Raw genomic sequence first — 12,114 nt, forward strand, 5'->3', positions numbered from 1 at the left:
GACGGGGTTTTGCCATGTTGACCAGGTTGGTCATGAACTCCAGGCCTCAAGTGATCCTCCCCACTCAGCCTCCCAAAGTGCTGGGATTATAGGCGTGAGCCACCGTGCCCGGCCAAGTTGCTAATATTATTTATGTACCAGACACTGCTAACATTTCATAAGCTTTAGTTCCCACAGGGTAACTGGCAGACAGGTAATCTGAAGCCAGGCTGTCTGATCACAGAGCCTGCAATCAGGGCGAAATCCTTTCACCATAGTGAGAATATATGTATTGGAGTTCAGCAGTGAGAGACTAAGGGCGGAGAACTTAACCCAGTTGAAGGAATCAGAGGGTGCAATGGACTGAATGTTTGAGTCCCCCCAAAATTTGTATGTTGAAATCCTAACCCCCAAGGTGATATTAGGAGGTAGAGCCTTTGAGTGGTGATCAGGTCATGAGAGCAGAGCCCTCACGAATGGGATTATTACCCTTATAAAAGCCTTAAGCTCCAGAAAGCTTCCTCCCCGCTTCCACCACCTGAGGACACACTGAGAAACTGGCAGTCTACACCAGAACCTGACCATGCTGGCATCCTGATCTTGGCTTTTCCAGCCTCCAGAGCTGTGAGAAACTGTGTTTACAAGTTACTCAGTCTACAGCATTTTCTTATAGCAGCCTGAACAGAATAAATCAGAAAAAATCCTGGAGGAGTTCTGAAGTTTGAGTTAGTCAGGCAGAGAAGTAGAGAAGCAAAGGCATGAACCCTTTACTCACACCTACTCTTTTCTGAAACGAGGTCTTGGGAAGAAGAGAGCTTTGGTTAAATGTACCACGTTCACAGGATGGTGTTTGGCTGAGCACATCCTATTCAGAGGCGACTGCCTACCTCTCACCTCAGCAGATTCTTCAGTAATAATCTTCTTTTTAAAATATTGGCAGTATATCTGATCTTGGTGAAGTTTATTTATATAAATGAATGGTTGGGTGTGGTGGGTAAAGCTTAAAAGGTCCCTAGGGGAAGGGGGCAGAGCTTTTTAAGTTATTTTTGTGTCCTGGATAAACTGATTCACCTCTCTTGGGTCAATAATCCCGTCATGTAATGAGTTATGTTATTGTTGGAAGTGTGCTATTCATGTGCAAAATGTGATGCTGAAAACGTTTGGAAACCATAGACATCAATTATTAAACTATTTTAATGAAAGTAAGTGTTTACACTAAATAGCATCTCTGAGTGTGATCCAAAAAATTACAAATCATTCTCAATTGACTTGCAATCAAGAGAAATCTGCGTGGAGCTGGAATTTATAGCACAGCCTACACTTCCATAGCAACCAACTGATGTCACATACGGAACTCAGACTTCCCTGACGGGCCCAGGATTCAGCTTGGAGGTATCATATGTTCAGTTAAGCATAAAAGTGACTTCAAATTTAGAGAATGCTTTTCTTCGAAGAGATTAATTTTACTTAATTTGATTTTGAGAGGAAGTGCTTAAAGCAAATAAGATGATTCTGCTCCAGTATTTTAACCAAAAATAGATGTAGAAATCTCATATAATTCACAAAATTGAGCTTGACATGATGCCATGCCTCTATAAGTCTCTATGGCAAAAATACAGAATTCTCAATGCAGAGGAGAGATAATTTCATATCAGATTCAATGCCTTTCTATAAGAGTTCCTGGAAGTACTATCCCCATATAAGCAGCATCAGAATCCCCTCAGAGGCTTGCAAAAAATCCAAATTTGGGTCTCACCCAGAACTACTGAATCAATCTTTGAGGGCAGGGCTCCAGAATCTAATATTTTAATACATTTTCTAGAGGATTCTTATTTAGAACCATTTTTTGGTGGAATTCAAATAAAGAAACAAGTTTTCTTTATCATATGTGGGAACAGGTAATTCTTGAACATCATTGAAGCTTAATGAGAAATAACTGCATAGCAGGCCCCTAGGTTGTAAGAGTATTCTATAATGCAAAGAGAACGTTTAAAACATCTGCAAATATTTGGAGGAAAGCAAAATGGTATACCGTAGTAGGACTAGACTTCTGGGTTTCAAAATCCAGGAAATTTTAAAAATTGGGCAAGGGGATCAACATAAAGTCGCCTACGTTTATGTTGCCAAAAGGGCACTTAAAAAAGTCTCACTAACTCTCACTCATTTCATAAAAGGGCATTTTTGCACCACAAAAGAAAAAAAACAAGAAAGCTATAATCCCAGAATAAAAGACAATCCTTTACATGAACAACTGTAGGAATAAAGACGAGCCATTTGATGTCCTGTCCTATTCATTTTCATGAATGGAGCTCTGATACTTGGGAAGCTCTCAGGCAGTGGAGAGACCAGTGTTTTGGAAAGATAAAAAAGTCAATTCTAAGCTCTTCCTCTTGCTAGCTGTGTGATTTGGGCATCACTTACATAACCAATTGGTCTTGGTTTCCTTATCTATAAAATAAAGATAATCATCGTCATGACTATTAATGACCTTACATGGATTAATCAACTGACATACAGAAGGGACTCAAAAAATGTCCACATTCCCTGGTTTTGTCTTCTATGGATTTACAATCTACTAAGACCCTTGTTGGACTTGAGACAGACTTGAGACAAAGTGTTGCTTGAGATAAAAAGGAGGAAAAGTGGCTGATTAACTGATTGTCCCTAGCATTTTATTTTTAGCTTTTTTTCTCTTGCTTTAGATTCTGACGGAGTTTCACATTAGACAGATTCTTAATACCTGGCTATTACTGACTATCTGAAATAGCAGTTCTACACCTTGTTTGTCACAAAATGCACAGGGTACAAGTAAATCCTTGCTATAGGTGTTTAAAAGGCTGTCTAGGTCAGTTCTGCTTTTTCTGTTACGCCTATTTATGAAGAAGTTATTTCCCCAAAGTAAATATAGGCCAGGTGATTATTTGTAGAGGGCACAAAAATAACTTAAAAAGCTTGTTTGTATAGGGTGCAGAGAAGTGCATGATTATTTATATAGGGTGCAGAGAAGTGTGTGTGTGTGTGTGTGTGTGTGTAACAGAGAGAGGTAGAGAGAGGAGGAAGTGGAGGATGAGGAGGTAGTTGCTCTGTTGTGGAACTCGAAGGACACCATCGATACTGTATTCTATGTGAATGATGTCCCATTGCTAATTGTGTTCCCAAGGAGTTGTGCAAAATGGTAGACCTGGGTGGAGGAAGGCATATAGATAAATATTATTCTACAAACAGAGTTCACACATGGCTCTGCAAGGAATTTAAGAAAATAACTTCATAGCTAACATTCTTTGAGTGCTTACATGTCAAGCACTGTGCTAAGCAGTGTACAGACTTGGCCACATTTTATTCCTCACAACAAACCTTCGATTATTATCCCCACTTTCCAGATGAAGAAACCAAGTCTTAAGCGAACACTTGCTTAAGATCACCCAGCTGATCAATGGCAGATGCAGGATTTGAATCCAGATCTGTGGAAATCCAGAATCCAAACTCCATGTCATTTTGCTAAACCACTCCTCCAAGTAAAAAAATAAAAATAAAGATAAGATAGAAAAGAGAGATCTTATTGAACACTCATGAGTGTTCAGGGAGGGTTGTTTTCACTTCTTTTCCTCCTCTTAAAAGGTAGATGACCAGCTTTGGCTCATATTCTAACTCTGTGAAGGTAGGAGGCAAAAGTTTTGTGGAATAACTCATTAATCAATCCCTACAGCAATCACATCTCTGTTTTACTGGTGCAGGGGGCTCTCAGTGTTTGTGGTTCTTTCATCATAAGTTGGTCACTGTATTTCCTAAAGGAATGACCTCCCTTCTTCAAGAGGTAATCACACATGCCCTGCTGAACTGGACAGAAAGCGGTAGCCAAATATCCTGTCGTCAAGCCTCCTTCAAGATAACTCTGGTGAGTGGTTATTTTGGAAGTGGCTCTAATCTGTCATGTTACACGGCTTTGCTAAGACTCACTTTATTAGCTACCACCAAGAGCTAATAAAACATGTCAGGAAGTCTCTGTAAGCTGTAAAAACATTTTCAAAGGTCACTGCCAACACTCTGGACTTCAATGACTATTTGAAGGAAAAGAAAACAAAAGCAGAGGCCTAGAGTTCCAAAACACAGAACTACCAAAAGAAGCAATCCCAAATGAGCTATAAAGACTGACAAACCCACATGATACCAGCCATTGGATAAACTGTGTCCAGAAGGAGGCTTGAAGAAAAGGTACAAAAGCCACAAAATGCCAGTGAGTAGGCAGCAAATTTAGATTTAGTGTATAGGAACCTGACGGTCACACCTACTTATGCTTCCAGCACCTACAATAGAGTCCTTTATAAACAAAGGAGTAGGTGGCAGAGAAGTAATTAACTTTAGATTAACCACAGCATAGCAGGCATTCTTCTTAACTGACTTTTTTTTTTCTATTGTAAAAGTAAACATACTTTTTAATAAAAATTAGTAAAACATAGAAAAGGAGAAAATCATGTTATCTTAAAAGCTGGGAATATAGTTTGATGCCCACTGTATATTTCATGTATTGAGAGTCATGCTTTGACAGTGAGATGTCTCAAGACAAGTGGCTGTGAGCCAGCAGCTCTATTAGATTGAAAATATTGTATTAATCATTGAGATTTCCATTCACTGCTGATGAGAGGTCCAGGCACAGAAGAGACAATAACATTCTTATCTTGGCTTAGGATAAAAAATTTAGACATGAAATCTGTACTTTGTTTGGGGGGTGGAGAAAAGGTCATCTGTGGAGTCATTAAGTCGGGATGTCTTGTTGTAGAAGCATCAAAAGACCGCTGAAGCGGGGAGATATTGATCAAAGGGTACAAAGTTTCAGTTAGGAGGAAAAAGTTCTGAAGATGTGTTATATACTGTGTTGCATATAGTTAATGCATATACTGTATTATGTACTTGAAAAGTGTTAAGAGACTAGATTGTAAATGTTCTCACCACAAAAAATGATATGAGTTGATTCGTGTTCATTAGCTTGTTTTAATCATTCCACGATGTAAACATATATCAAAGCAACATGTTATACACCATAAATACATATAATTTTTATTTGCCAATTAAATAATAAATAGATTTTTTAAAAAAAAAAAGACTGTTGATAGGTTGGTATGCCCCAGACAGAGAGAGGCAGGTTCTATCCTGCTTTGGAACAGTTGCTAGCCTGCTCACTGATTGTGCATGGCTGTTTTTAATAACTTATTGCAGGCATCAACAGGGAGCGAATGTGATTCAATCCTTAAATACTGCAACGCTCAGTGATCTAGTCAATAACAGGAGATACCATATGGGTGTGTTGTCCCTTCCTTTGTGTTTCTGTTTTCTTTTTCCTCCTCTACTTGCTAAGAAAGGCAACACAGAACGGTAGCAAGAGCCCAGGTCCTGGAGCCAAGCTGACCAGGGCTGAGTCAGGCTCAGCCTGATTTGCTTTCTAACTTTAGGCTCATTCTGTTGCTCCTCAGTGGCATCTACACAATGGAGATAACAATAGGACTCGTTCAAGGAGCACTTGCAGGATTAAATGAGACATGCTTTTAAAGCACTCAGCAAGCAGCTTGGCATGTACAGAACAATCAAAAAGTGAGGAAATCACAATTATTGTGTTACTGGCTGGGAGCTTTGAGGACGGGGGTTATGTTACCTTTTTTGGATACTGAGCACAAGGTGCCTGGCCACTTAAGGTAGGGGTGTGGGGGAGGGCTCTAAAAATGCTCAAGAATAAATGAATTTGGTTAAATTTATTTCAGGTTCCTTTCCTGATACACTTTCCCTACATGTATTTTTTTCCTTCTCCAAAATAGTAAACCACATTTTCTTTTGCTTCAAACAGATGTATCACTGACAGTAGGTTGAGGCAATTCTCTTATTTTCTTGTTCAAGAAATATTTATATTTCTTGTATTATTTTTTATATTCAGCAGTCCTTTTCCCCCTTCTCTATTCATAGCTTTCGTCCCTGGGGGAACTGCTCCCTCAGTCACTGGGGCTCTGGCAAGTTTGCCAATCGGTTATCCCCAAGCCCACTCCTATCCACCCCAATTCACACACACCAGAATCATTATTTGACTCTGAGGTCACCTTCTTTCTAATAAATCCTGTTTCCTACTCAGGTTAGTCAGAGTCAGTTTCTGTTGCTTGCAACCAAGGAGCCCTAAATGATATGTACCTTGTTTTTTCTTCCTTTCTAATCATATTTCCTTACTACTTTATGTTTCCCATATTTCTCCTTGACTATCTACCACTATTTCACCTTGACTATCTAAATTTAGTCTCCTTCCCCACTGAATATGGCAGAATTTATTCCAGTCTGTGAATAAGGATGACATCATGTCTCTTCTAATAAGTTCAGCCCTCTTCTTAACTATCACAGTGTCTCCATAAAATTCATTTACCCTCAAGGCAGCCTGATTTTTGGCTGAGCAAAATGTTAATTTTAGCATCCTAGGTGCCCTAAGACTTAGCTATTACAATCTCAAAATGGTAACGCATTTAACCATCCACGTTAACCCTCTTCATTTTACAGTAAGGAAAAAGGAGGACAGACATTTAATGACTTGTGCAAGGCCAAACACCAAATCAAGGACAAACTAGAATACAATCTCCTGATATTTGGTAAGATGCCTTCATCATCTTTTTGAGCAGCTTTTAAGGAAATAATATTTTGGGCCCATTCCAAGCAAATTTTCTTTGTGTAGTGGAAAAGACCTTTGTCATAGGACAGTAACATCTACAAGACAGTCCTTCTTCTTTGTTCAACAGAAGTTGGGGAAGAGGGAAAATGCAGGAAGAAGGATAGCGCTGTTCAAGAGAAATGCCTCATACTATTTCTTCTATACGGAGGTGCAGAGATTCTCCATAACTCAATCGTTCCAAGTCATGTGGCAGGCCTAAGATGAGACACTACGATTATGAGTTTTACAGAAGTGGCAAAGAGAAAAAAAAAAAAAGATCATCAAGATTGCTATATTAACAGCCCCTTTTAATATAAGGCTTTTCATCTATTGAACCACAGCATAGAGTTAATACATAGAAAACAACTCTCAAATAAATGCAAATCAATAGGCTCTCCACTGATTATTATATAAAGCAACACATTACAGGGGAATAAACCAATAATGCCTCTATATTTTGAAGTGTTCACTAATTCTGAGTAATTACCTCCTCCAATGGCTCTAATGAGTGCAAATCTGTGAAATTTGACTACATCTTTTTCCTTATTTAAATACTATTTTTTTAGTTCATAGAACCCTCACAAGATTCTAGTAATAACAGAAGTTCCCTCCCAAGAATTGCTTTCATGACTAAATATTTTATAATTCATAATATACTAATCTTCTATGTACAAATAAATCCTTCCAAAGTACTTGATAGTTTGTGGAATTAACTTGCTCTTTTAGATCGGCTAAACCAATTTCTCTGCAAGTACTCTTTAGATCAGGGTTTCTTAATCTCACACAATCCACATTTGGGGCCAAATAATTGTTTGTTGTGAGAGATTGTCCCATACATTGCAGGGTGTTTAGTAGTATCTACCCGTTAGATGCCAGGGGCCAAAAAGTGTCTCTAGACATGGCCAGATGTCTCCAAATCTCTCCCAGTTAAGAACCTGTGTTAGGCCACTGATAAATTTTTTACCCAAGTCTCCCGTCTTTTGATAGAGGATCCAAAGATAAATTTATGGCATGCCTTCTTCAGGAATCCCAGATCAGCATTCTGGGTTACCTCAGTAGAAATTAAAGCAAATTTACCTTTAATCACACAGCATCCCGGGGAGGAGCTCATGTGTTGTTATCTTCATTTCATTGTGGAGAAACAGAATCCAATGTCACACAGTGGGACAGAGATGTCTCCTGAAATGTACCCCTCCTCCCAATCTGGGCAGAAGGATCGTCATCTCACTTACTGCCTTCTTCCCTTCAGGATATAACATTTGCTCTGGAGGATTTTGTAGCTCAGAGCAAGAACTAACCAATGGCAACTATCTCCTTGATAATTTAGGGCAAGTTATCTAATCTAGAGTCTTCATGGTTTTCTTTTTTTAGTTATAAAAATGAAGATAATAATTCCTACCTGTAAGGTTGTTACTCAGAATTGAAGATCACAGTAGACATAAAGCATTTGACACAGAGTCTAATACAGAGCAGGTGTGCACAATAAACATTAGGTCTTTCATTCCCTCTTCATGGAGAATCTCAAACCAGGATCACTACATGAGCTAATTTGGAAGTCATGATTGAGACTTAAAGAGCTGAGTAGAAAAGCAAGCAGTGCATGTACCACCTACCAGAGACTGGGTGAGTGTGGAACCCATGTCAGGGATGCAGAAACCACTGTGACGCAGAAATACTGACCATGTAATACCACCAAGTATTTCTATAAATAGTTACATATAATCAAATACTGTGATACCTTTTAAAAGTCACGTATAATCTGAATTTACTAAGAGAGATACCAGGGACTGTTGTGGCAAATTACTCAAAAGGTATATACAATTTGTCACCTTCACCTAGGCATCCCCATCTCTAGTTGCTAGTAGGCTGAAACTATATGCAATTGCTGATGGGTGGCTACTTTTTTTTTAATCTGCAAAATGGCAATTTTTTAGCAGTCAACCTGAGTTCTGGGGGCAGGGGGGTGGGAAACAGACTCTTTCAAATATTTAAAATATTGAGTCCCCAAGTGGAGGTCAAATAAATTATTCTTAGTTAAGTGAGGAAAACTCTGAGGAAACCAAGCCCACATGAGATCTACTATTATCATGCATGAATGACATTCCATTCTTCCCTATCTCTCTCTTTCATAAACTCAAGATGCAAATTTATAGAGCTCTCAAAATACCCTCCAGCAAAAGAGGCAGGTGCCTTATCCCACTTCCCAGTGGGGCCCTGAATTAATCACAGGAGGAAGGCTATGCCTCATCTGAAACTGCAAATAGGCTATTAAATAAAAGAGATGGCATACCTGTGCCACACTGGGCAGTACAAGAGAGGAGACGACGAAGCACACAAGGGCAGGTGGAAATGCAAAAGCCAAATTTCAGACCATTATGGCTTTGGGGCCAGTGAGCATCCTGTACTCAGCTCATTCCCACCTGGTTGCCCTGTTAGGGAACAGAAAGCACTGGGGAGAAGGTTAGAGCTCCAGGAACTTGGCTGAGAGGCAAGTTGCTGAACAACTGTTTTAGAGTATTTCAGACACCCAGGTGGACCTTCACTGATGGGGTCTGGAGACCCTTCCATTAATACAAATCTTGAAAACTGTCTTGTGCACGTCTCTGAACCCATCCGCTAATCTGAAGGACAGAGTGATATAAACTCCCAAATTTGTATATTCAATCTTAACCTCTTTTCCAAGCCTCAGACTCCTTTCCCTGACTGCCAAGAGATCTTCTCTATCTTGAAAATGTATTAGCATCTCAAATTTAATATGTCCCCAAATGAGATCGTATCTTCCTACACGTGCCTAATCCTGTGCCACATAGCTCAGTGAGTGCTATCACTACTGACTCCATTCCTGGAGGAAGACCTTCAAACCCGGCTCGAAGTTCTTTTTCATTCTCTCCACATATCTAAATATGAATCCCTCAGAAGTGTAATCTCAAGCCCAACTGCTCCTTTCGATCCCACAGCCCCTGCCTTAAATCAGGTACTTACTTCTCCCCTGGAAATTACAGCTGCCTCCTGCCTGTCCTCTCTGCTCTTCACTGCCCCTTACATCAGTCTCTCCTGCAAACTGCTCTCAGAATCCTCATTCCCAAAAAGTGTTTTTAAAGCCTTTATATTGTTTGGACATTGTCCACAACACAGTTCCTTGACAAATGAGAATGATAGATATAAATAACTTACTTTGTCTGTGACAGAGAATAATAATACTTACAGTAATTATTGATTGTATTGTTAATTGTAGATACAGCTCTCCAAAACCTGGCCTCAACCTACCCTTATTCCTGCCATTCACCCAATGCACCCACTTTTCCCCATTGCGGTGACCTCCTCTCAGTTCCATGAGCTCAACAGGCTGTTTTATGCCCGCCTAGCTGTGCACATCCTGTTCCCTTTGCCTGGAGGGCCTGCCTCCCTCCTTCCTTCCCAAACTGCCAGGCACACAGTTACCTTTCAAGACTCAGCTCAAAAATCACCTAGGTAAAGCCTTCCCTAATGTCCTCAGGTGAAATTGAAATGAATCATTCCCTTCTCAGAGGAACATTTGTATATTTCTACTCTAGTAGTTCCTACATTATGTGGTGATTTATTTGTCTAGACTGTGAACACTTCAAGAACAGGTGTGACATCACTCACTTTTATCTACCTATATCTAGCACAAAGTCCTACTTAGAGAAGGTCCATTAACGTACATGAAAGGGATGGCCACTGGCCTTTTATGATGGTTCTTCTAGTGTTACATTAAATGTTTAAGACAATCACTCAAAGGGGGCAGTTTTTCTTAGATGCTTTCTAGTCCTTCTTTTAGCATTTCTTCAAGGAGAGAATATTAAATATCTAGCTTAGGCTTCTGTGGAGAAGGCAAAAGTATCTGAGACCCATAAGTAGGACATCACAAGGTTCCTCATTTCCATTTAGTTGTGATACAAATTATTTTATCTGCTTGAGAACTTGTGTTTTGATCTGTCCATGACAAGGACCAGAAACCAGTTCAAGCTACGGAAGGCAACAGGGGCTTTACAGTGATAGAATATGGCACCCAAGAGCAGAAGGTGAAGCCCAGCAATGGAACCGGGCCAGGGAACTGAAGAGCAGGGGCCGGGTGCTCCTTTCCAGCATGGGCCACGCGGTCTGCCTTCTCTGCCTCACTCTACTCCCTGGAGCCATTCCCTTCTGTTTCACATTCTGTGAGACTTCACTCCCTCCTCATTTGACACATAGATGAGCCCCAGCTGGCACCCTCAGCCTGGACCCTGTGACTTTTCGATTCAATGGCTCACGACTAACAACTTCCCTCTGGATCTTAGTGCAAAAGTCCTGAAAGAGGGGCTGTAGGTGGCCCAGGGCTCCTTTTGGGTGACATACAAGTCACGTGACTGTCTCAAGTCAGTGTCCACCCTGGTCCACGGAGGTGGGACCTGTGTCAACGACAGGTGGGATCACACAGACAAAGGCACCCTCATCTGGGTCTGTGAGCAAAGATAGATGATCTGAAACAGGTCAAAGGCAGTACTGACAACTCCACAGGTATATTACCCCTTAAAAAACTTGCCCTACAAGTACATTTCTGCCTCACCCTTCATCCCTGGTGGCTGTGGCAGTCTTCTGATCTGCTAACATCCAAGGTACCTAATGGAGCACATCTAGAAATCAAAAGTTAAATCTTCTTAATAAAGTAATGAGGAAATAAAATCATTAAAGAACTTCAAAGCAAGGAAAGCAAAAGAAAAACATACAGGTAAGCAAAGGTTAGAAACTTATGGCAAACATACTGATCTGTCTCCTATCTGAAATCAGATTTTGAAACATGAGTAACCACAACAATTTTGGGAGCTAAACTTCATTTCATCCATTACTCCACATACTAGGTGGGTATTATGCTCTACTAGTTTTTTTCTGGTCTCTTCCAACAGCCTAGCGCATAATGTGCAGATATTTCTGTCCTGTAGAGAATACAGCACAGAACCTTAGAGTCAAATAAACTGAGTTCTGCCATTTAGCACTTGTGACCAAGGGAAATACACCTAACTTCTCTGTGTCAGTTTCTTCATCTATAAAATGGAAATAATAAAGTCAACTTTGCAGAGTTCTTGGGAATGTTAACTGTAACACTTATAAAGCACATATTCCTGTGTCTGGCATATGAGGAATAGTCAATAAACGGTAAACATTTGGTTGAACCACATGAAGTTAAAAATTAGGCAGGTCATAATGTTATATGCTCCCCCGATCAGAGGACCTTTATTATAGTTGTGTATTTATATGTTTCTATCATTAAAATGCAAGCTCCATGAGAGCCTGGACTCGGTCTATCTTGATTCCCACACAATGCCCGGCACAGCACTTCACAGATAGAAGGTGTTCTATCTGTATTTTTTGAATGAATTAATGTGGATAATGATGATGACAAAGATACCTCTTCTGTACTGCCTACATCTGGGGACAATTATAGACAATACAGTCCTTTA

At 40.0% G+C, this 12,114-nt stretch overlaps 1 protein-coding gene across 6 annotated transcripts in view, besides 1 other annotated feature; it reads right to left on the minus strand.

The window, feature by feature from the left end:
• Positions 1-12,114, minus strand: part of MOB3B (MOB kinase activator 3B) — a 204,606-nt gene that overhangs the window by 65,179 nt on the left and 127,313 nt on the right. The window lies entirely within an intron of this gene.
• Positions 5,185-5,748: an enhancer, noted in NCBI's record as "OCT4-NANOG hESC enhancer chr9:27395570-27396133 (GRCh37/hg19 assembly coordinates)". NCBI's record gives its function as "activates a minimal SCP1, AML or CMV promoter by ChIP-STARR-seq in naive and primed H9 embryonic stem cells {active_cell/tissue: H9 hESC(naive and primed)}" and the evidence as "EXISTENCE:reporter gene assay evidence [ECO:0000049][PMID:30033119]".

This window comes from Homo sapiens, chromosome 9, assembly GCF_000001405.40.
Source record: "Homo sapiens chromosome 9, GRCh38.p14 Primary Assembly".
NCBI classification, from domain to species: domain Eukaryota; kingdom Metazoa; phylum Chordata; class Mammalia; order Primates; family Hominidae; genus Homo; species Homo sapiens.